Consider the following 26,044-nt stretch of genomic DNA (forward strand, 5'->3'; position numbering starts at 1 on the left):
AGATTTTATTCGTTTGTATGTCTGTGTAGTATTCTATAGTGTAATGTATCACATTTTCTTTATCCAGTCGACCATGGATGGGCATCTAGGTTGATTTCACGTCTTTGCTGCTGTGAATAGTGCTGCAGTGAACATACGCATGCATATGTCTTCACAGTAGAGCTATTTATATTATCCCCTGGGTATATACCAAGGAATGGGATTGCTGGGTTGAATTGTAGCTCTCCTTTAAGTTCCTTGAGAGATACCCAAACTGCTTTCCACAGTGGCTGAACTAGTTTACATTGCCAGCTGCAGTGTATAAGTGTTTCCTTTTCTCCACAACCTTAGCAGCATCTTTGAGTTTTTAGTAATAGCCATTCTGATTGGCATGAGATGCTATCTTATTGTGGTTTTAACTTCTATTTCTTTTACTGCAGGGTGAAAATATTATTTTTAAAATATGCCAAAAAGTATTTCCTTTTTCAGGTTTATTGCTGCTAACCAACTAGAATGTGATTAGGGCTTTCATAAGATTTTAATTGAAAGATTAAAATTTGCCTGGAGGCCAAGATCTAGAAAGAAGAATTTCCTTTTGCAGAGAAATTTTAGTCCTCATATATTAATACATATAATTCCTCTGAGTAGCTCTTCAGTCTCTGTCAGTCATCAAATGACCAATTTCTCAGCCAGATCCATAACTCTTTGGAAGGAGAAAAAGCCCCAGTTTGAAGCTCCCATTAATGAACTGTGTTCAGTTTTGGGAGTGTGTACTGAAGTCTGCACTAACAGATGTTAGTTGATCAGGAGGAGGATAAGGGGGAAAATACTTTTTCAATGAAAACAACTAAAAATTATCTACCTGAGATACCTAATGGCGATTAAGGCTTTCCACCGAATAGGGCTAGCTAAGGAATCCAGGGGCTCGTCTCTAATGAAGTCCTGAAACATAAATAAGGAGATTAAATGTTTCAGAAAGGCTCAGGAAAGTTACCAGATGCAGCTGCAACCTCATCAGACCATTGGGTGCCCTGGGTCATAAACAAGGCAGAGATCTGTTATGTGGGACTGGTGAAGTCTATTCACTTTTTAAAAAGATAGCCCTGAACTCTTGGTAATGGAATACTCAGGGCCTTTCTTATTCCCTCTCTGCACACTCACCAGCATGTAACCAATCAGCATCTCCTTGTAGGAAAACTGGAACCCCTGATCCTCAGCATCTTGGACAGCAATGCCAATCTCAGTGATGCTTCTTGTGAAACTCATTTGCAGATCCATGTCCTAAAGCAAAAGCATTTACAATGCAAGTCAAGGTCTAAGACACCACACTCAGGTCTATTAACATGTGACCTAGCTTTGAAATATGTTCCCAGACAGGAGTGAGAATCTTTGCTTCCTTTGCCATCTCTACTCCAGACTAGGGTCTAAGTTGCAGGGAAAGTGAGAAACAAATGCCATTTTTCCTCCCTACCACCCACAATAGAATGAAGGTCCTCTAGAGCAGTGGCTTTCAAAACTTTTTGACCATAAACAACAGTAGGAAACAGTTTACAATTCCACCTAGTACCTGTATGCCCCAAATATGTTTAATATATAACAGAAATAATAGTTATAGTTTTTACAAGTAAAGTACTCTGTTGTTTCACTAAAGAATTTTTCTGGTTGTGACCTATTAAATTGATTTCATAGTCAACTGGTGGGTCACAACCCAAAGTTTGAACACCATTGTTTTAGTTTATAGCTCAACTTCTAAAGACCCTGGAACCAGAATATAGTTCCTTGTTCTGCCCTGGATTAGGATCATGGATTCTGACTTCAGAATTGGATTGTTACATGTTGGAAACCTTTCAATTGGAATCAAATCAAAAGGACATCTTTGCTTGGCACACTTCAGGGGGGCATTATCTATCTATCTATCTATCTATCTATCTATCTATCTATCTATCTATCTCTCCTACCTTGTTCATCACAGACATGCCCAGAACCTAAAAAAAATCAAAGGCAAAATTAGATACTCAATGAGTGGCATTGAGAGATATACCCAACCCAACAAAAGGACTCACCCATCAACCTGAAGGACAATAGTAAAGCAGGAGGTAGAGCCTTGCCAAGGGGGGTCTTGCCAAGGGGAGGGGGGCAATTCACTTCTTCCATTTTTAAAGTGAGACCTTGTACATTTGCAGAGTCTTTCCCCCAGGTAAGTCATGAGTAAGCTGCAGAAGGCAGGGTAGAGACTTCGAGTCTTGTGTTTTCAGCCTTCACAATCATTTTAAAGAGGCTCAACAGACTTTGGTAAGGAAAAAGGGTAAAGGCTCTTAGGGAAATGAGAAGCGAAAAACTATAAAATGAAAAGTCAAAGGGCAGCTAACTCTGGAACTGTGAGTACAGTGAGTTCTGCTATAACATTTGTGTTGAAAATGCAGATTTGTTCCAATGAGATTGACATGCTGTATCAGAGAATACTTTTAGTACATGCTGAATTCACATTTGCTTGTGTGCAGTTTCCTCTGTGAGAGGAAAGGTGCACAGTTGAACTGAGCCACGTAGGAATACTCAAAGCACGCACGTGCACACACCCCATGAATCTACCAGCTACCTCAGTCTACTGTGTGTTATGAGCCTTTCCCATCCAAATCTGGTATTATAACAGTCCATTAGATTTCAGATAACCCTTACCATTTCATAGGAAGTTCCAACTTTCACAACTGACTTCAGGTGTTTCAAGGTAAAATGCCATTTTTTTGGGTAGCATTTGTGTATTTTTAATTTTTTAAAAAAAGATTCCTATTCACTGGCAAAATGAGTTAATACAGAGGAAACCCTAAAAACTCCACCAAAAGCCTGCTGGAACTGATTAATGATTTCAGTAAGGTTTCAGGGTACAAAGTCAATGTACAAAAATCACTAGCATTTTCATACACCAGTAATGTCCAGGCTGAGAGTCAAATCAAGAACATAATCTCATTTACAATAGCCACAAAGAAAATGAAATACCTAGGGATACAGTTAACTAAGGTCATGAAAGATCTTTATGAGAACTACAAAACACTGCTGAAAGAAATCAGAGATGACACAAATAAATGGAAAAACATTCCATGCTCACAGATAGGAAGAATCAATATTGTTAGAATGATCATACTGCCCAAAGCAGTTTACAGATTCAATGGTATTCCTATCAAATTACCAATGTCATTCTTCACAGAATTAGAAAAAAACTATTATAAAATTCATATGGAACAACGAAAAAAAGCCTGCATAGCCAAAGCAATACTAAGATGGAAGTATCATACTACCTGACTTCAAACTATACTATAAGGCTATAGTAATCAAAACAGCATGGTGCTGGCACAAAAACAGACACATAAACCAATAGAACAGAACAGAAACTCAGAAATAAAGCCATACAGCATATGATCTTTGACAAGGCTGACAACAACAACAAAAAAGCAATAGGAAAAGGACTCCCTACTCAATAAATAATATTGCTGGGATAACTGGCTAGTCATATGCAGATAAATGAAACTAGACCTTTACCTTTCACTATGTATCAAAATTAACCCAAGGTAGATTAAAGATTTAATTGACAAGTGGGATCTAATTAAACCAAAGAGCTTCTGCACAGCAAAAGAAAATACCAACAGAGTAAACAGACAACCTACAGAATGGAAAAAATATCCTCAAACTATGCATCTGACAAAGGTCTAATATCCAGAATCTATAAGGAACTTCAACAAATCAACAAGCAAAGAAAAAACAACCCCAATAAAAAGTGAACAAAGGACATGAACAGACACTTCTCAAAAGAGGACATATAAGTGGCCAACAAACATGAAAAAATGCTCATCATCACTAACCATCAAAGAAATGCAAATCAAACCCACAATGAAATATTGTCTTATATGGGTCAGAATGGCTGTTACAAAGAAAGCAAAAAAACAAAACAAAACAAAAAAACAAAAACAGACGCTGGTGAGGCTGGGGAGAAAAGGGAATGTTTATACACTGTTGGGGGGAATGTAAATTAGTTCAGGCACTGTGGAAAGCAGATGGAGATTTCTCAAAGAACTTAAAACAGAGCTACCATTCCATCCAGTGATTCCATTACTGGGAATATATTAAAAAAATGGATCGTTTTACCAAAAAGACACATGCACTCATATGTTCATTGCTTCATTATTCACAATAGCAAAGACATGGAATCAACAATGGAGGACTGGATAAACAATGTGGGAGATACATATATTATATATACACACACACACACACACACACACCCCACATTTATACATAGATATGGTTTGGCTGTGTCCCACCCAAATCTCAACTTGAATTCCCATATGTTGTGGAAGGGACTTGGTGGGAAGTAATTGAATCCCAGGGGCAGGTCTTTCCTGTGCTGTTCTCATGATAGTGAATAAGTCTCATGAGATCTGATGATTATATAAGGGGGAGTTTCCCTGCACAAGCTCTCTTCTCTTGTCTGCTGCCACATGAGACATGCCTTTCACCTTCTGCTGTGATTGTGAGGCATCCCCAGCCATGTGGAACTTTAAGTCCATTAAACATTGTTTTCTTCCCAGTCTCAGGTATGTCTTTATCAGCAGAGTGAAAATGGACGAATACAGTAAATATACCATGGATTACTATGCAGCCATAAAAAATAATAAAACCATGACTTTTGTAGCAACAAGGATGGAGCTGGAGGACATAATACTAAGAATTAATGCAGGGGCAGAAAACCAAATAAGTGTGAGTTAATATTGAGCACATAATCATGGGAACAAGACACTGTGGACTATTAGAGGGGGACAAGGGTAAAAAAACCTAACTGTTGAGTACCTTGCTCACTACCTGGGTGCAATACACCCATGCAACAAACCTGCACGTGTACCTCCTGTATCTAAAAGTTGAAAAAAAATTCAATGGGAAATAATTTTGTTCAGATCTATGAAAAGAAATAATCTGTCCAGGAGGGGCTTCTAAACTAAAAAGAGTGTATCACTGATGGAGTTTTTTGAGTGTTATGACTCAACCTCATTTCCTCTTTATGTTTTTACCTATATTATCTTGTGTATATGTTTTGTTATAGCAGAACTAACTGTACCCTGAAAGTGTATAGTAATCTTTATTTTAATCATTCTTATTTTCTTTCCTCTTTTATTTATCTACTTTTAGAGACAAGGTCTTGCTCTGTCAACCAGGCTAGAGTGCACTGGGACTAATGGTATGTACCACCCCACCTGGGCAATTGTTTTATTTATTTATTTTTATAGATGAGGTCTTGATACTTTGCCCAGGCTGGTTTCAAACCCCTGGCCTCAAGTGGTCCTCCAACTTTGGCCTCATGAAGTGCTGAGATTACACGCTTAAAAAAAATAGTTTCTTGTAGAGATGAAGTCTCACTATGTTCAGGCTGGTCTCTAATGATTGACCATAAATTAATGTAACATAAAACAAATTTTATTATGTTTTCTATTCTCATCACTGCTTCTCAGATTTTGGGGGCATCAGAATCAACTCTTGAGGAGCATGTTGAAAATGCAAATTCAGTGATTCAACTCTGAAGGCTGTGATTCATTAGGCATCTCTATTTTTGACAGGCTCTCCAGGCAATTCTTATGCAACTAAGGTGTGAGGATGAGTACCCTATACCCTTCCACTAACATGTACTGATGACTACAATTTCATGAGTCCTTATGAGTCTATTCTTATCACATGTACATAAGAATAAATGTGAAGAGCACTTATGCATCAACATGTGGTTTGTGGAGACACAGACGAGAAGCTAAAGGAGTCCCTAACGTCAAGGTGCTGACAATCTAACAGGAGAAGCAGATGTGCACGTAATCAATGAAAGCCTCCCACATTGATCTATAAATAATCACTTGAAAGTTTTAAGCATACAGATTTCCAGAGTTTTCCCAAGACCTACTGAACTAACTTCCCTAGAAAACAACTCTAGGAAGCTACATTTTACACTTGATTCTTGTGTGATTCTTAGGTGGCCAGCCTGGTATTTGTCAGCAAAATGGGTGAATTCACAATTGTATAAAGCAATTTATTAAAGATACAAACAAAATGCTATGGAAGACAGAATGATCAGATAAATTTCAACTCAGTTTGGTGGCTCCAAAGGTAGAACATTCTTGGTATGTTTGAGAAGCATCAAGGAGGGTCAGGTTGGCTGGGATGAATGTGGAGGGGGAAACAGTGCAACACAGGTGAACTGAATAGCTTGATGAATGACATATTTTATTCACTTAAAATATGTATATGACACTTACTATTTGTGAGACACTGTTCAAGGTAGTTTGTAAGTCTTATCATATAAAAAGTTAAAGAACTACCATGGGCTAACACTTCTGATACTATTACAGGGAAATAATGAGCCAGGTGCCCTAAAATAGTACAGGAGTAACTGTTTTAAGTTCAAACAAGGGTGAGATCACTACGGATATGATTGACCTGGGACAATCACTGCATCACAGCAGTGGTAGGACATGAACCGCTCAGGGCTTTAGGAAAGAAAATAGATTACCTGATGCTATTTTAAAATAAATTTTTCTGTTCCCATATGTTCTCATTTCCCAAACATACCAGATCCTACCTATCTTTCTTTTGGCCTGTGTCCTTTGAGCCTGAAGGATGCAGCCATCCATGTTGCTGCAAAACACGTTTTATTCTTTTTTATGGCTGCATAGTAATCCACGAGACATTTACTGTATTAGTCTGTTTTCACGTGGCTGATAAAAACATACCCAAGTCTGGGAAGGAAAAAAGCTTCCCAGGGACTGAGCCCCTGCAAGTTTTAGGAACCCCAGCCTAGAAATGGAGGCAGCCATGCAACGGGCATTACCTGAGAGCACTGGCCATGAAGAGACAGGACTTGGGATATGATATCTTGATTAAGTCTGGAGAGAAGTTGCTTCTTGGGAGCATGGAGGGCCACTGCTCCATAGATGACCATGACATCTGTCTTGGTCAGGCTCTTTTTCCCAGAAAAAAGGCTCTGAAGACCAGGAAAGGGAGACATGAAAAATGTGACTGAAGGAGTTCTATTTTCTCTCATGTTTTTTTCCTAATCCTGTGGACCACTATAGGGGATAAGAAACTGGACTGGGATGATTCGAATAAGTCTAAAATGAATATACTCTCGCCTGTTTAAATGTAAACAGCCAGGATGGTCCTGTGGGATGATCAGGCCTTCAGAGAGGTAACTGGGAGAAGCTTTTGTTTATTATATATACTTATCAGGCCCCTTTCCTTCAGGGAAAGCAGAGTATGCATGAGAGGAGCTATTCATGAGGGCCGAGTGGTTGGTAGAGGGACAAACTTAGGCACATGCAGAGCGCATTTAGGATCTTCCAGATCAGCTTTAGGGTCAGAGAAAATAAAGTAGACTTTTCATATAGCTAATCATCCTATAAAGACTGGGCTTGGACAGTTCTGACCTGGAATAAGAACCTGGGGACAGGAGTAAGTATAATATAAGAAAGGATATTCACTGAAGAAATCAGGGTTGTCTGGCCTTGCAATACTGAGAATTTGAAGGAGATGATTCTTCTTACCTTACATCGATTCATGAAAAACTTTTCCTGATTTTGGAATGTTTTAAGAACTTTTAAAACAATATCCAAATGGTTCTCGGCACAGTATCCTAAAATAGATGTTATTCCCTAAAATCAGAAAAGGTATGACATTTTGAGTTTAACCATTTATTTATTCAACAAATATTTACTGAGCACCTATTATGTGCCAGGTATCCTTTAGGTGCTGGGGGTACAGTAGTTTGCAGAACATACCAAAGTCCCCATCTTTGTAAGGTATACAACCAGGAGAACTGACAGGGAAGCAACAGGGAAGTGAAATAAGTAAACACATCAATTCAGTAAACAGGTAAATATACAGTGTGCCAGATGGTGATGAGTGCTATGAAGATAAGTAAAGCAGGAGTAGGTAGTGAGGATTGGGGGAAGTTTGCATTATTAAAATAGGATAGTCAGAGATGGTCTCACGGACAAGGTGACAATGAGCAGAGCCTTGAAATGAGTGAGGGAGTGAGCCATTAGACTATCTGGAAAGGAGAGTTTCAATCAGAGAGAAGGTAAGTGCAAAGCTCCCGAAGTCCACTGAGAGGGCTGAGGGAGCAGTCAGGGAGGAGAGCAGTGCAAAATGAGTCAGACAGGAGGTGGCGGGTTCATTACAGTAGGGCCTTTTAGGCCGTCCCCAAGATTTTGGACTTGTAATCTATGATTGCTGGGAAGCTAATGGAGGTTTTTTTTCAGCTTGAATTGACTGATGCTTTTAAAGAATCATTCTGTTCCTGAAACTTTACTGTATCTTAAGAGGTTAAATTTCTGAAAGTTGGCAGTTCTTGTTTCACACTCTGAGGTTATATATTCCCTCTGTCCCCACCTCTCTTGTCCAAAGCTGATTTCACCAGAGTTCCTTCATGGCAATTTGTTCCTGAAACCTGTTATATGTCATTCAGTGGCATAACCCTGCCAGAGCCATCATGAAAACTCGTAGACTAGACCATTCTTGTAGAGTCTAGATAATAATCGTTCTAGTATGAAGCTAGAATCAGAACTCTGGCCTCACATGATTGAAAGCATTATGCTTAGGAGATTGAAAACCAAGTAGGCTCAGTGGGTTATGAAAGTCACGTGTTAACACTTTATTCATCCAGAGGTCATTTATTAAGCGACTTGAGTATGTAAGACATATTCAAGGACTTAAAGTTAAGTAAAAAAGGTATTTGAGAAGCTCAATTGGACGTCACAATTTTTATTTTTTTTATTTTTTGAGATGGAGTCTCACACTGTCAACCAGGCTGGAGTGCAATGGTGCGATCTCGGCTCACTGCAACCTCCCCTCCTGGGTTCACGCGATTCTCTTGCCTCAGCCTCCCGAGTAGCTGGGATTACAGGTGTACATCACCACACCCGACTAATTTTTTGTATTTTCAGTAGAGATGGGGTTTCACTATGTTAGCCAGACTGGTCTCGAACTCCTGACCTCGTGATCTGCCTGCCTCAGCCTCCCAAAGTGCTGGGATTACAGTTGTGAACCACTGTGCCCGGCCATGATTTATTTTTTAAAGTTTGTGAAACCCTCAGACCTTGAATGAGAGTCTTATATGCTTATATTTAAAATCAACTTACTTTGTTTCCTAACCTATACCAGAGATAAGATGGAAAAAATGATATTAGAGATGGTGCCAACAGCAATAAATGATAATATCTGACAAGAAAAAGGAAATAATAGTAATATAAAAGCAGTTTCAAAAGTTCAGTAAAGTCTAGTGGTTTCTGGCCATTTAATGTGTGAGAAAGAACCCTAAATATCTTATAATTTCTGAGGAGAAAATATAACACACTATACTTTTTTTATACTGGTGGTCTTTATCAGCTTGGGAACTATTTTTTGTTGGTTTATTTGTTTGTTTTAAAAATACACATCTTCAGCGGGGTGCGGTGGCTCACACCTGTAATCCCAGCGCTTTGGAAGGCTGAGGTGGGTGGATCACCTGAGGTCAGGAGTTCGAGACCAGCCTGGCCAACATGGCGAAACCCTATCTACTAAAAATATAAAATTAGCCGGGCATGGTAGCAGACACCTGTAATCCCAGCTACTCGGGAGAATGAGGCAGGAGAATCACTTGAACCTGGGAGGCAGAGTTTGCAGTGAACCAAGATCGTGTCACTGCACTCCACCCCGGGTGACAGAGCGACACTCTGTCTCAACAACAACAACAACAACAACAAAATACACATCTTCTCCTTCCTCCACATTTATATATACTCTATAGCCACAGGCTATGGTAGGAAGTAAGTAGAGCTTTGCAGAAGCACTTTAGGTTATCTTTACATTCTCTCTAGATTAGTCTAGATTAGTCTATAAGTAATTTCAGCTTGTAAATTCAATCATTTTGATGCTCACAATCATGCTCTAAGTCAAGCCAAGGTCTGGTTAGGTAAGAATTATTGAAATTCATTTTTCAATATTTTCATAAACTTGGTTAAAAATGAAGTATTGATTTTAAATAGAAAAGCCTAACTTTTCCGAAAAATTCTGTTAGGCTATTCTGAGTGTATTAATTGATAATTATGATTAAGTAGAACATTATTATAAAAGCTGTCAGAGGTTTTGTGGATAGGATTAGTTGTGTTGTTATCATCATAAGAGGAAATTGAGAGCAAGGGGTCCCACCTGTCTTTGATCCCCCAGTTGGTTGGGAGCAGTCAGAAACTCCTTAATCTGTGAGTTTACAAAGTCTGAATCTTGGCAGCATGCTAAGGTGGTTCCCAAGGCTTTCCAAAGGAATTTCTGGAAAACAAAAGATAAGCAACAGGATTTTAAGGGTTGGAAAGCAAGACTCTGATGAAAAGTGGAAAGAGTTAAAATAATCATCTGAAGGAAAGAAATTGGGGTGACTTAATAACCATGTACCTCAAGTATTCTCTCTTCTTGAGAGTGTTTCCTTCCTCCAGGCTCTGCCCTCCATCTGTGCCCTCCTATATTCCTCTCTACCTTGTGTCCTGCCACTAAAATATACTTCACCCCCCATTGTAATTTTTTATTTTCTTGCTTGTCTCCATGCTTAGGATTTGGGTTCATTGTAGCAGAGGGTCTTATTCATTATTTCCACTGTATAGTTCCTGATTGTTAATATGTGCTCAACAAATGCTCAATGAACATGCTCAATAAAAAGAGGGTTTTTTGTTTTGTTTTGTTTTTTTAAGATGGGGTCTCACCCTGTTTGCCCAGGCTGGAGTGCAGTGGTGCGATCTTGGCTCACTGCAACCTCTGCCTCCTGGGTTCAAGAGATTTTCATGCCTCAGCCTCCTGAGTAGCTGGGATTACAGGTGTGTGCCACCATGCCTGGTTAATTTTTGTATTTTTAGTGGAGACAGGGTTTCACCATGTTGGCGAGGCTGATCTCAGACTCCTGGCCTCAAGGGATCTGCCTGCTTCAGCCTCCTGAAGTGCTGGGATTTCAGGTATGAGCCACCATGCCCAACCCATTATTTTGAAGATGGCTTTAATTTGTTTTATAAGGTTCAAATCATTCCTAGCTATATAGTAACAGATTGGCATTTATTTAGAATCCCCATATTGTCACACACAAGAGACAAAACTGGCTAATTGGTGGTCCAGGTCAAGGACTCTGCACAGCTGGCAGGACTTTTCCTAATGAGTGGTCATTACTGACAATAGGAAAATCTGTGGAGCAGGAGGAAAGGAAATTCTAATAGACACAGACCAAGTTAAATTAGTACATTCAGGAGTAATGTGCATATCAATCTGGCTTGAAATGAGAGGGGGGCATAAAGTTAAAAAGAGGTGGAGCAGTTGCTGTTATCTCAACTCCCAGAGTGACAGTGGCCTCAATCAGAGTGAGAATCTGACCAGGTTGCATCACCCCACTTTCACTTATTCAGGCCAAAGTCCCTATAATAAGGAAATTATAGTGGAGAAAACTGTGTACAATACAGAAGTAAATACGAATTGGGGACAAAGCTGCTAAAGTCTATTTAAGCCCACCTTGGGGGAAAGACTGGAAAGAATCTGGGAAAGTCTTGTGCTGCAGAAAAAAATTGGTCATGAAGGGAAAGTTTGACTTAGGTGTAAAATGTTAGTCTTAGTGCCTCCCAGTCCTGCTGACCTGTTGCTTCTCTGTGGATTTTGGTCCAGTGCATAGTACATCCCTGCTTTAAGGCTTCACATGGAATCCAAGAAATTAGAAGCCTAGCATTGGGAGAAAATGTGGTAGAGTGCAAAAATAGCAACTTTTCCATCCTATTTCTGTCCATGTCTCCTTACTATGGGGTGTTGCAGCTCCTTCAATCAAGAAAGGAGTCTATTTTCCCATTTATGTGAATCTGGGCTGGCTTTTTGACTTGCTTTGGCCAATAGAATGTGGCAAAAATGATAATGGGTCAGTTCTGAGCCTATACCTCAAGAGTCCTTGCATGCTTTGTTGCTATCACCCTGAGAGTTAGCTTGGGCTAGCTTGCTAGAGTATGAGAGAACAAGAACAACAGAAATCAGCTGTGCTAGTTAAGATGCATCATAGGCAGGTTGCGGTGGCTCATGCCTGTAATCCTAGCACTTTGGCAGGCTGAGGTGGGTGGATCATGAGGTCAGGAGATCGAGACCATCCTGGCTAACATGGTGAAACCCCGTCTCTACTAAAAATACAAAAAAAAAAAAAAAAATTAGCCGGGTGTGGTGGCACGTGCCTGTAGTCCCAGCTACTCGGGAGGCTGAGGCAGGAGAATCACTTGAACCTGGGAGGCAGAGGTTGCAGTGGTCCGAGATCGTGCCACCGCACTCCAGCCTGGGTGACAGAGCAAGACTCCATCTCAAAAAAAAAAAAAAAAATGCATCATGTACCAGCCAACCTCAAGTATACCTTGTGAGCCTAGTTGAGATTAGATGACTACCCACCTGAGCCCAGCCCAAAGTGTCAAAGTATAAAATTGTGACCTAAATAGGTGGCTGTTATTTTAAACCACTAGGGGTAGTTTGTGATGCAGCAAAAGTGAATTAGTACATTCTTACTTTACTCTTGTTCGGTGTAAGGCTTGAGAACATCTAGGCAGCTAATTACTGAAATTGCTCTGCCTACGGGTACCACCATTATTCTAGAGTAATCTTGTGGGTCTGGAAGCTGTTGAATAAATAGCATGATATGAGGTGCACAGAGCTAGTTTGTGTTATAAGAAGATGGAGCATTACTCGCCAAATTTTCCTAATGTGTGTTGGCAGGTTTGGTAAACCCATTTGGAGAATCAGTACTCTGCACCAAATTAGAGAGTCGATCAATGAGGAGAATTTTGAAAATTACATATGTGAGTTGAAGATTGATAATGATTACTTTGTGGAAAGAAATACTGAGTACTGGAACTGAGAAACTTAAATATTTTTCCAGGAAAATAAACTTATGAATGGTATTAGCATAATAAAGACCATGATCAAAGCTACTTTTATATGGAGCACATGCCCTATGTCAAGCACTTCACCAGGGACTTTATATACTTTATCTCATTGAACCCTCAGAATACTACAACCCTCAGAGGTGGGTATTGTTTCTATTTTACTGATGAGTATGGTGAGAATCCAGAGAGATAAAATAATTTACCTGAGGCCCCACTAGTAGTAATAAGGGGAAACTGGCTTCAAACCCCATTTGGAATGGATGGCTACAAGGTGGAAGCTTAGGTAGGGGCCATTTAGAGACAGAGGGATAGAAGAACTGACTTTAAAAACATGGAAAGGAATAATGTTTGAAAAATACTTTATTGCTCTGATTTGTCCTGTTAACTGACACATGGCTGTGGGTCCTTTAATCATTGTTATCCATGGCCATACCTCTTTGTCACTGGAAATAAAAACCTATTTCTTTGGGCGCCCTTTCCTAGAACTGGCTTTTGAGTACTCTTTTAGCTATAAGCTTTTGTTAAATTGTAGTAGATTTCTTTTTGATTGCCAGCCTCACAAGACTGGCATAATGGAAGCCAGGACAGAAGCTGACATTAAGCACTGCTGTTAGCCTTCCAGTATCTATTCTTCTTCCTCCTGTAGAAAGAACCTCTGAATATTAGTTAGGCACATATCTATCTTATCTACCTCTCAGTCTTCCTCGCAGATACCTGTGGCCATATGAGTAAATTTGGGCTAAAAGTGAGGTGCAGAGAAGGTCATATTCAACTTTCAGCTAGTGGCCTTAAAAAGAGGGAACTCTTTTTTTTTTTAAATGTTCCTCCCTCCCTTTGATTGTGATACAGACAAGATGGAGCTAGAGCAGCCATTTTGGATCATAGGTAAAAGCTAAGGTTTCCCCTCAGCTGAAAAACCAACCTTCTCAGTGGAGTTATTGCTGTAACTGCCCATTTGCTGTTTGAAATCCTGAGTCAGCTGAATGGTCCAGGCCACATCACTGATCTTCCATAAGGATTCTTTGAGCAACTGTTGTAGGAAGTGGAAGTTAGATGTGAATATGACCGTTTCATGTGCTTTCTTGGCATATTTTTGGTTATTTTATCTTTTAAAAGTTTAAATATATTTTAAATAGTATTATTCCCTTTTCCATAAAATAACTAATTCCTTCGAAACTTTCCTCTTAGTTTATTCTAAAAAACATTTTCTGATATGTTCTGAATTTGCACTGAGAATAAGATACACAGAATGTGGAAAATCAACTTCCTTTTCTTCCTTTAAATAAATATTGCTAAAAGACCTAAAATATAAACTAATCCAATCTGAAACTTAAAGTTGGCATTTTTCTAGTTTCGGTAGATTTGGAAAAACTCCATTTGTTGATATTAACTTAACTGATTACATACTAAAAAAAAAAAACCCCAAACACGATGGAGATTTTTGGAATCAAGAATTAAATGTCTTAAAGAACAGGCACATTTTGATGTACAGGTACATTTCTGCAAACTTCAACTCTAGTAACTAAAGATTCCTGGTTTTACTGATACCTATGAGACAGGGTCACAATCAGTCCTTTGAACCCATGTCCTTCTTCTTTGAACAATACATAGAAAAGTGTTTTTTTTTTCTTTTGGACAAACACATTGCAATATATATATTATCTCTCCTATATTTTTTCAACTTTAAGCTTAGAAAAGGACACAATGCCAAACAAAACCAATGAAAGGATGTGTATGCCTGTTCTTAACAGGAGCTCATTCATGGGTTCTTTAAAGAAATTAAACAGTTTCGGAAATTTAAGAGAAGAAGACATGTGCAGACAGTTTTGGAAAAAAAAGACCAGAAAATATTCAAAATTGGAAGAGGAGAAGGAACTGTTGTCAAGACTTCCTACTAGAAAAAAAAATATTTTTCTCCCTAGTAAAGACAGTTATTTTAAAATGGTAGCAGAAGGAAATCTGGTAGGAATTTTGGGAGAGGGAAGGGAACATAAAAGAACCATAAATATAGGAGGAGAGGTGGATCCTAGAATTGAGGACCAGGAGAGTAGAGCAGTCACTTTCAAATCTTATACTGGATAAGAATCACTGATGGAAACCTTTAAAACATGCCAGTTCTCAGGTACCACCCCCAGAGATTCTGAATCTGGAAGGGAGATAGGAGGCAGAGGGAGTACTGTGGAGAGATCATTGAAAATTGACTCTTCTAAGAAGCCATAGGTAATTCCTAGGTAGATGCCTTTTAATATAGAAAACCTTCTATATTAAAAGCTCCCTGTCTGTGGGCTTCGTCCCTCCTGCAAGTTTCTGAAGTCACATCTTTGTAAAGCCAATGTCCACTGCCTGTCTGCAATTAACTATTTCTGGGATTTGGTATCACTTGTGGCACTGTTTAGTTGTAAAGCTCCAAGAAGTTTATGGGTGAGAGAGGAAATTCGTTTTTGGAAATGGATAAAATGTGGCCCTTTGTTTTTTGGATATTAGGAAAAAGACATTAAGCCACAAATAGAAGAGGAAATACAGTTGTGTTTAGGGGCATGGAAGTGGAAATTATATTCATCTGCTTTTCATTATGTGGCTGGTAAAAGAACAAAGTTGCAAGAAGTAAAAACTTGAAAATTAGAGAAGATTTAAGAAAGACACAGGAAAAATATTGCTAAGTAAAATCTTCAAAACTGTCTGAAACTGAATCAAGTGGATTTAAGATTGTAGTTCAAATTATGGCTATTTAAAGAACATTATCCTTGAGTGATCACTTCTAACATTCTAATTCTTTTCCAAAGAAAGGAAAAGGTTGTTTATTATCCTCAGGAATCTAGTTCCTTTAATTTAGGATGGGTAACTTCAGCTGATTTCATCATGCCATTATTAAAAATTATTCTAGAAGCCAGCCTTACCTGAAGCAGCATGGTTTCCCATAGAACGGTACTGATGTTCTTTCCTAGAAACAAAAATTGATGTAATAATCGCAAAAAAACAAAACCACCCCAAGACTCAAATTCTCCCCTCCAGGCCTCCAGTGATACTGGAGTTCTATTTTAAGCTTTCTTTTTGCTCATAATGCTTATTTGAGATCAAATTTACTACACTGGCAACTTTAAAGTGCTAGGTAGAGAGAAGGTCTTCAATCTATCATAAAAATCTAGGCTTTTTGCTAATTTTGATGACTACTGAAATGACCATATTTTGATATTCTAACATGATTAATAACTTTTTAGAACAATGCTAAAATAGAATTTCTCTAGATACAAGAAAAAGACGAGAGCAAAAGTAAAAATTCCTGCTAAGAATGTTACCTACTAGGTCTTCTTGTAGTATGAATATTGGCAAGAAACAGAACATAAGGAGTTAAGAAGAAAAAAATAGCTATCTACCTTGCATATCAAGTTCATCATTTTTATTGCCTAAAATGAGCATTAATGGCTTTACACAGAGAAACGGTGCATTATTTCTTTATGTTCTTGCCCCCTGGGTAAAGACCTGGCCCCAATCCCTTGTACCTTCCAGAGGCTGCAGAAGCTCAGGTAAACGTGTTTTCCATAGGTCTACCAATTTTGGGTGAATTATCTCAGGCAGTATCTTCAAAAGCCCTATTGCACCAGCCCCACGTAACTCCCCTAAACTGGCAGGCATAGATATTACCTGAAGGATAGAAGAGAAGGAGCTCATCAATTTCAGGGGCGTTTAAAAGCCCCACTTATTTTTCCCTTTTTACCATTGTTCCAATTCCTTTGATTTCTGCATTGGATAATCTTTTAACAAATCATCACAGTCTATTCTTATTTATTCTAGAATGAAGCTAATACTTAGATAGCCCTTCTCCCATTTCTTTTTCCCTGAGGATAAAGGTGAAAAAAATACATGGAAAGCACCAACCAAAAATAAGTGGAAAGAATTAACACTTAGATATATCAATTAATTAAATAAAGGCATGAGGAAATAGTGCTTGAGTAAATCATCCATATGGGGCCAAAGAGAGAGATGGGAAATCCAAATAACAGATGTGGAATTTGTTTAATGGTACTTATGAATGAGATTCAATATATGCTTACTTTAAAATTATAAGTAAAGTTCAACAAGTATTTCAGAGTGGGAAGGTAATCATGTCAATAATAAATATTCATGAATGTCACTAGTATAGCAGAAAATTTATTATGCCTTTTTAGTGTTTCTTTTTGTTTGGAGTATCTATGTAATTTATATTAGCACTTATTTGGAACTGAACTATCCTTATCAGCTTAAATTTGTTCTACTTTGGTTCTTAGTAACTCACTCACCAGAAGTCTGGCCAGTAGCTGCTGTGGTGAAGGAAGTTTCACTAGAAAGAGAAAGCAATTTTCATCATCACTGCAGGGGTTAGAGATTGGGGTTGGGTTTAAGGTCAAAGCACTGTAGCCTTCCTGGAAATGGATCCCTCATAATAGAAAAGCTTTTCTGTGTTTATGAATGTACAGACCAGCTCCTGTAGAGACGACAAGTGCTGTCGACTCCTTGGCACTGTGCTGCTTCTTCTCCTCTGCCATAATCAGAATTCTGATGATACTAAACAGGGGCTCCAGAGCTTCTGTGTATTCTGCAGGTACCACAAAAGTCAGGATCCTTGGCCATAGCACCTGTGGAAAACAGGGCATGATGCAAGGATTGCTTATTCTTTTCCATTATTTCTCCCTGGTCCTCACTGCATGTTTTTCTCTGATTTAGAAGCTTTTCTCCTGTTATTATTTTGCTTTTTGGGCCAAGTCAAGATGAGATCATTAAAGGAAGCCTCTGCACAGCACATTGATTTTCAGGTGTTAGCTGTAGTGAGTGTTGGTCAGTATTTCTCCATGGGGACGTTGCTGGAATGTGGGGCAGGACAATTCTTTGTTGTGAGGGACTGCTCGAGACACTAGGGGAATGCTAGCATCCCTGAGCCCCACTTACCAAGTGCCAGTATTCCTCTTGTCAATGTGACAACCAAAAATCCCCCAAGTACTTCCCAAAACTCCAGGATTGGAGTGTGACTTCCCCAGTTGAGAAGCTTGGGAGAGGATAGTGAATGGGCTGCTGCTGTCCTCTGTGCTTCAGGCTCTGACCTGCCTGCTCTGGAAGTCTGAAACATTGTGGTTTCTTTAGTATGTTTTATGTCCCTTAGAAAACTCTCTTGTCCTAATGGAAACCTTGGTGTCAACTTGTACTCTTCTCTCTTCTTTGTCATCTATATTTAATCACCAGACTCAGTCCTTTTTTCATTGTAAGATGTCTCCTGCCCTTTCATGTCTCATTTCTATTGCAATGACATTGCTGTAATTGCTACAAGTTGCATCTGATCTCCTATATAGTCTCTTTGCTCTTAGTCTACTCATGTGTGAATCTACTGATTCCCTACAATTATCGTTTTAAATGTTTAGCTCTTGCTTAAAATTTTCATTGGTTTATCAACCATAAGGTAAAAGTTTGGCATTCCAGGCCCTTTAGGGTTGGACCCTAGATTATTTTTTTCATCATTCACTTCTATATCAGAAGGTCTTAAACTTTAGTATGTATCAGAAATATTGGAACTTAGTTGATTGTAGACTTTTGGTCTCTATGTCCAGTTTTGCTGATTCAGTAGGTCTGGTGTGTGACCTGGAAATCTGCATTTTAAGTAAATATCCCAGCTAACTCAGGATGAAGCTAGATGAAGCCTCTGATCTACCACTTAAAAGGTGTGGTCAGTTGGTTGTCTTCTGGCTGTGCTATGTACTTCCGGGCACTACAGATTCCAAGGCTCTTCCCCTTGAGTTTCAAATGATCAGGTCTCCAGTGAGGCCTGAGAATGGCTGCTTTTAACACATTCCCAGGTGGAATAGGGTAAGTTTGGCATTGGTTGCTTTAAAACCACTACTTAATATTACTGTATGCATTAGAGGAAGAAGAGAAATAGTATATTAATATTATATATATAAATTGTCATGAACTATCCAGATGTAAGATACTTTATATTAATTAATTCAACATCTGTTTTTGAGGAACCACTATGTGTTGGACACAGCGTTGCAATATACTTCCTCTAGTCAGAGCATCAGGAAGCTGATGACAAATGGAGAACAAACTCATGTCTTTATTCTTACACAGGCTGGGCTTTAAGAAGGTGATCAAAGTAACTGTAAGTGGTGACAAAAGACCACTTACCTGAGGCATTCCAATGACCAGTGGGTCCAGGGTTTTTAAGACCTCAAGGCTTGTTTCTCGGACAGATTCCTCTTCCTTTTCATTCTCATGAAAGTTAGTTTTCACTGGTTTCTCCTTTAAGAAAGATCAAACAGGTGACTTGTTAATGACTCCTAAGGTTGGTCCCCTCTGACTTTCCTTGGGTGTGTTCTTAGACTCTGGAGTAGAGGATGTAGTCACTCAACTTAAGGGGCTCATGGAACCTAGATATCTTGGCCTTCAACATCTAATCCCTGTTTGAAAGGGCCCCTTGGAGGAATTAGTTGGAAAACACAACGCTTGCTAAAAGAGAGAAACAGAAATTGTGAGGCTCCTTCAACTGCAGATATCCCCTCTCTTTCTCAGGCCTTTGCCATTTTCTTCAGGGCAAATTTTTCAAAGCATGCTTCTTTGTGGAGTGAACTGTTATTTCAGTTGTGACTAATTTGCTAAAATCACAGAGATCATAAGCTTGTATTTTTCAGCCTATTTATCAAAAGAAAGCTGACCTCAATTGTGTGATCTGAGTGTTTGTGTTTTCCCAAAATTCATATGTTGAAATCTGAACGCCCAAGGTGACGGTATTAGTAGGTGTGGTCTTTGGAAGGTGATTAGGTCATAAGAGAAAGTCCCTAGTGTTTGGAATTCATGCCCTCATGAAGGAGACCCTGGAGAGCTAGCTAGTCCCTTCCACTAGGTAAGGACACAGTGAGAAAGCACCATCTGTTAGGAAGCAGGCACTCATTAGACAATCTTGGACTTCCCCGCATCTTGAACTGTGAGAAATAAATATTTTTTGTTTATAAAACATCATTTTATGCTATTTTCCTTTCTATATGGTGTTTTTAAAGGATTTTAAAAGCATGCTCCATCAGCATACAGCTTTTTCTCATTCATATAACAGATACATTTCTGTTTGTGTACAGCAAAGGGTTAGAACCCTAATAAACTTATTTATGATTTCAGAAGTGTGCTATTTTAGAAATGCACTTCATAGAACTTACTTCACTGTTCCATGGTATTTTGCTATAGCAGCCTGAATGAACTAAGACACCGTTGCAGCAAGAATTGATATCTCTATTGCTTTCTCGGAAGCAATCCAGTCTCTGTGTCCCTCTCCAGACAACCCCAATCCAAGCTTTTGGTGGCTGGGTTAACTTAGGGAAAACTGATTTAACCTATCTTGTGTTTATTATAAGTTAGAGGTGATTTTAGAAAAAAAAAAAAAAAGAACTGAGAAAACTAGAGGCTGTAAAAATTATCAATAAAAGTGATAAGATTAAAATATGACTTCAAAATCAGTTATTTAATTGAATTCCAGTTATTTTTAATTTTTTTAAAATTTATTTATTTATTTTTTACTCTACTCCTGTGACAGATTAAGGATCCTAATCATTTTTTAAAAAGAAACATAGTTGAGCGAACTGTACTTTTTATAGTGCATCACTCAAAACTGTAGCCTCTGCATACCAGATTCCTGTTCAACGTTGCAAACTGGGAGAAGACATAATCAATCAATGGCCATCCTTCCCGAGCTTCAATATAGGACTTTTCACACATGGTTTGGATGAGGAGAAGAACAGAATTTCTTACCTAGGGTAAGAACAATGCAATAGCAACATTTTACTATGTTTTGCAGAAGGGAAATTTACCTTATTTTATTCTATAATCTTAAGGATAATTAAGTGGGAACATTTTTGAAAAAGGAACATAAATTGAATAGTGTTAATACAGATTGAATAATCCTTATCCAAAATGCTTGGGATCAGAAATGTTCAAATTTTGGATTTTTTTCAGATTTTGAAATGTTTGCATTAAACTTACTGGTTGAGCATTCCTAATCTGAAAATCCAAATTCTGAAATGCTATAATGAGCATTTTCTTTGAGCATGACCTTTGAGTGTCATGTTGGTGCTCAAAAAGTTTTGGATTTTGAAGCATTTCAGACTTCCTTTGGATTAGGGATGCTCAACCTGTATAAATAGAGGGAGAAGAAAGTGAGTGATAGGTTATGAAAGAGTCACCAGAAATGCTCTCTTTAGCCAAAATCTTTCTCCTTGGCTCTCAAAGGCATATTGTCTATCACCATAGATTATGAATTGTTGGGTAACTTTGGCCTAAAACACTGCTTTGCTTTTAAAATACTCAATGAAAGATAACAGACAACTGTTTATTCACAATTTCAGAGTCCAAACAACTATGAAAACTGGATTTTTGTTTCTTAAATTTAGTGCCAACTCATTTGGTGGCAAAACCCAAACTGAACGGTTTTAAAGCTGTTTGTAATCTTATTCTATGCTGTGTGGATATGCATTAATTTTCTTGCAGAAATATTCATGGATTTCCATTATGGGTTTCTATCAGAGTAATGTTTTTCTAAAAGCTGAAAAATTGTCAATTCTGAAATATATCTGGCCCTAGAAATTAGAGTGAAGTTTTATGAACTTGCATTATAGTATATATAATAATTTGGTTTTAATTTGTTTATTGTGTTGCTTCTCTGGAGGATAGAAACATGAGAACCAATCCCTTAGTGAACAGGTCTTTGAAAAGAGAGCGGGAAGAAAAAAACCATTTTGAACAGGGAAGCAGTTATATGGTGGCCAAAACAATTAGCATAAAGACTCTCAGTAGTCTACCTAGAGAAGAGGTACACCTTTTCTCTATTTTTGCCTGGGGAGTTGGCCTTCCTCAAAGATCTATGCTCTTTATGCTATCCTAAACTCTTCTCGTAATTCTTGTTTTGTCTTTTGTCAGTTACTAGGCCAGGTTTTTTTGTATAATCACTCTATTGCTTTTTATTGCAAAGCTTTTACTATTTTAAACATAGTCACTGGCAGTCAAAGCTTCTTAAAAGAATTTATTCCTCTTAATTGGCTTCTGTCTAGCATTTTATTCCAAACAAAATGTGGTATTCTTACAAAAATATAATATTTGATAATGTTTCTTGCTTTCCCAGTATAAGTTCTATAACTTCTAACATAGAACACCTTTTTTTTTTTAAAGAGAGAGTCTTACTCTGTTGCCCAGGCTGGAGTGCAGTGGTGCAGTCTGGGCTCACTGCAACCTCCACCTCCCGGGCTCAAGTGATTCTTGTGCCTCAGCCTCATGAGTAGCTGGGATTACAGGTGTGAGCCAGCACACTTGGCTAATTTTTGTATTTTTAGTAGAGACGGGGTTTCACCATGTTGACCAGGCTGGTCTCGAAATCCTGACCTCAAATGATTCACCTACCTCGGCCTCCCAAAGTGTAGGGACTACAGGCATGAGCCACTGCACCTTAGAACACTTTAATCAAATAATCAGGAATATTGAGCAATCCGCTATGTGCATGACTTGCTCTAGGTAGAGTCTGGTTGGAAAGTAGGATGTCTATGCTAAGACCAAGGTTTAGGGATTAATATTTCCTGGATGAAGATACATTATCTTTATAATTAACAAGTAATTTTTAAACTATTTGAAGTGCATTGGCATAGTGAGATACAGTCTCTTTGCTCTTATTCTACTCATGTGTTAATCCACTGATTTCCTGCAATTATTTTAAATAAGCAAAAATCTTCTTCTTTTCACTGAGACGTCCTTTAGCTGTGTGTACTTTAGGCCTCTACCTTGATGAAGTTTATCTCTTTGGAAAAGATGGAGTTCTTTTAAAAATGGAATTGACCACAGAGTTCTTTATAAAATAGTCTCATAAGTAGATCCTTAAAGAATCAAAATAATTTCATTCATTCTTAAAGCTACCATCGACAAGAGTTTCTATTAATTCTCTTACTTTTGTACTGAGATCACCCATGACGATTTTGACTGTTCTTTCTATTGAAATGATGTGATCCCTCAACCTGGGCTCTGAAAGACAGAGGGAGAAATTGAGAGGCCTGACTCAATAGAAGTACAGTATGTTCTAGGATTGATGAAAAGCTATTAGAATTATGGCACATAATTGTGAAATCTCTTGTTTTTAACAACCTATTTGTTTTTCAATGCCCTCCCATCCTCTTTGTTTCCAAATCTTTAATGATGTCCAATGCTTTCTTTGCTTCTTATTACATTTGTTTCATTTTGTTTAAAATGTTAGGTTCCATAGTGGTTTCAATATATCATTCCTGGTGGATCAGATCTAAATATTGTGAGACTGCTTCATATTCATCTGCTGATTCTTCAGTAAATCAAAGTGCTAACTGAATGTTAAAAAACTATACCATACTATGCAAAAATGAATTTTTGTATTTTAGCAAGTCTAAGATATCACCAATTTTATCATGCACCATTATTTCATATTGCACCAAAAAATAGTGGCTAATTATAATTAAAGATTCATTCAATTGTAAGATGCATTCAGTGTTATGAAAATATGTACTTTCTGGAATAAAATATGGCAATTCGTTAAATTCTGCTTTTTTGTAAACGTATCAATCTCTAGAGAATTGTGCACTCCCTCCCACCCACCCCTTGATATTGGACCATTTAATCAACCTACAAGAGCTTCTAAATTCGAACTTTAATTCTCAAAAATTCTACTCATTCTTCTCAACTGGGTGCATCCATAAATGTTACGAAAGAAGAGAAGTAACTAAAGATGCCTGTTGAAAGGAATTGTAGATTGTGGAAGATTAAGAAGACAGAATTTCATTTGCACGTGATGTTATATAAGCATCCAAAAGACATAGGATAGGATTAGAGAGTGCATAGGCTTCAGTCTGCTTCTTGGCATGAAATAAACCATGTTGGCTTCAACCCTCTTGCTTACCATCAGCATTGACAGCCAATCTTAACAAAGTCAAGATTCCCACTCGAATGGCTTCATTATTACTTCTTACTTGTTCATCAAAAAATTCCATCAGCTCTCCAGGATTGGAATGGGCTGCAGGTTCAAGAAACACTAGAGCTGTAACTCATTTTCATCCTAGGTAAAATACTTGTGAATGGGAGGAGGGAAATTCACCATGAAGATTATCCAAGGCACTCTTCAGTTGGTAATTTGATTTTATTACGTCCATGCTTCTTCAGTATCACAGAATTAATTGAGCAGTTTTGTTCATAAGAGAGCTTGCTGTGCCTAGGCCACTTCTGTTCATATCTGTGAATGTGGCCTTATTTAAAAATGAGGGTCTTTGCAGATATAATGAAGTTAAGAAGGTTATTAGAGTGGGCCTGAATTTAATATGACTGGTGTCCTTACAGGAAAAGGAGAAGAGACATGGGGCACAGTGAGAACACCATGTGAAGATGGAGGAAGAGATGGCAGTGATGCTTCCTCTGCTGTGAGAGCTGCAGTTGTTGAAGCAAGGAGGGGTGAAAAAAGGCCTGGTTGGAGGACAGTGGTTTATTCTAGAAAGCATCAGGGGTAAGGTGAATTAGTTAGCTAGGCAGGGGTCGGGGAGAAGAAGAAAGTATAGAGACAAAGGGGCCAGTCAGGAGAGAAGTAGAAAGGTATGCATACACATGACAGAAAGATATGCAAGGAGGTAGAAGTGATGTAGTATTTGGGGGAGTGCAGAGGTCCAGGAGGTATTGGATTGCTGCTGTCCCTCCTCCTCAGGGACTGTATGGGAGCATAGTTTTGTATTCTGACCCTGGGATTTTGGTGCCCCCCGTGCATCCCATGTCAGGCCTTCTAATCAGGTGATATAATGTAAGGTCAAGATAAAAAAGGATAGAGTGAAGGACAGAGAGAGAGAGACGGAGTGACTGATGGTTAAAGAGGTGTAGACACTAAGAGATGACCAGGAAGAGAAAAGGGTGACTTTGGTTTGACACAGACTCAAATAATCTCAAATACCAAAAAAAAAAAAAAAAAAGAAATTTCCTATTTTTAGGATTGTCAACTCACTCCAGTTTTCCAAGGACTTCCTTGGTTTGAGAACTGAAAATTTTATCTCCCTGGACCTATCCCAGTCGTGGAAACCCTGGCATCATTGGCCATTCTTCCCGTCCTGCTCCTCCTGGGAACTTGTGGGGAGAGGGGCAGGCACAGAAAACTGTGAGCTAAAGAAACAGTGTGTGTGTTTGTGTGTGTGAAAGTAAGTTAATGTGACAGTTTGCCCTCCTTTTACCATTGTCATCATCATCACTTGGGGACATTTTTATTAAAAGCCTTCTGGATGCTGGTCCTACCTAGAATGAGAAAACAGCTTGAAGCTTTCATTTCATTTTCCTTTACTGGAGGCTCTGGAGCTCTGCAGATCTGAATGGGGGTGGAAATCAGGTGGTAGATGTTAAACACAGAAAACCGGTTGAAATTAAAAATTGGAGTTGACAGCATGGTCTTCTTACCTGCTGGAGTAAATTGATAAAGATGGATCTTCTCAAGCTCCTTGGAAGGCCAATGTCATAAAGAACTGCTGCAGTCAGTATTTGTTTTAGGCTCTAAAGTGGAAACTCCCACAGGTTAGTTGGAGGCTGCCAGGGAAGCAGCTGCACAGGATGTGGAAGGCAAATAATTGTGTTTTGAGAGAAAAACAAGCTTCTCATCTTCCTGCAGTTACAAGTTTTCTTGAATGATTCTGGCCCCTTCCACCCTGTTCAGTGCCTCAGCAGCTTGGAATGAATGAATGAACGAATATCCCTCCTTTTTTTTTTTGAGACGGAGTCTTGTTCTGTCACCCAGGCGGGAGTGCAATGGCGCAATCTCGGTTCACTGTAACCTCCGCCTCTCGGGTTCAAGCGATTCTCCTGCCTCAGCCTCCCGAGTAGCTGGGGCTATGGGCATGCGCCACCATGCCCGGCTAATTTTTGCATTTTTAGTAGAGACGGGGTTTCATCCTATTGGCCAGTCTGGTCTCTCAAACTCCTGACCTCAAGTGATCCACCCGCCTCGGCCTCGCAAAGTGCTGAAATTACAGTTGTGAGCCACTGAGCCAGGCCCAGAATGAACGTTCTTAATCCGTTTCTGAAGTTCCCATCATCCAGCGATACAATCTTTTTCCTACCTCATATTCCTCAAGAGATAT

The 26,044-nt window shown here is 38.7% G+C and overlaps 1 protein-coding gene across 3 annotated transcripts in view; it reads right to left on the minus strand.

Annotated features, from left to right (window-relative positions):
• The window catches only part of MROH2B (maestro heat like repeat family member 2B), a 73,323-nt gene that overhangs the window by 33,881 nt on the left and 13,398 nt on the right, over window positions 1-26,044 (minus strand). For all 3 annotated transcript variants that reach the window (XM_011513953.2, NM_173489.5, XM_011513952.2), the window contains 17 exons: window positions 25,368-25,460; window positions 25,209-25,278; window positions 23,842-23,955; window positions 22,867-22,940; window positions 20,565-20,687; window positions 19,077-19,190; window positions 17,380-17,536; window positions 17,201-17,241; window positions 16,424-16,565; window positions 15,821-15,864; window positions 13,846-13,953; window positions 10,192-10,308; window positions 7,548-7,655; window positions 6,836-6,988; window positions 1,938-1,964; window positions 1,141-1,260; window positions 842-921 (listed from right to left, as the gene is read on the minus strand). In XM_011513953.2, the coding sequence (XP_011512255.1) occupies window positions 842-921; window positions 1,141-1,260; window positions 1,938-1,964; window positions 6,836-6,988; window positions 7,548-7,655; window positions 10,192-10,308; window positions 13,846-13,953; window positions 15,821-15,864; window positions 16,424-16,565; window positions 17,201-17,241; window positions 17,380-17,536; window positions 19,077-19,190; window positions 20,565-20,687; window positions 22,867-22,940; window positions 23,842-23,955; window positions 25,209-25,278; window positions 25,368-25,460 (1,685 nt within the window). The remainder of the gene's footprint in view (window positions 1-841; window positions 922-1,140; window positions 1,261-1,937; window positions 1,965-6,835; window positions 6,989-7,547; window positions 7,656-10,191; window positions 10,309-13,845; window positions 13,954-15,820; window positions 15,865-16,423; window positions 16,566-17,200; window positions 17,242-17,379; window positions 17,537-19,076; window positions 19,191-20,564; window positions 20,688-22,866; window positions 22,941-23,841; window positions 23,956-25,208; window positions 25,279-25,367; window positions 25,461-26,044) is intronic.

Source organism: Homo sapiens, chromosome 5 (assembly GCF_000001405.40).
Source record: "Homo sapiens chromosome 5, GRCh38.p14 Primary Assembly".
NCBI classification, from domain to species: Eukaryota; Metazoa; Chordata; class Mammalia; order Primates; family Hominidae; genus Homo; species Homo sapiens.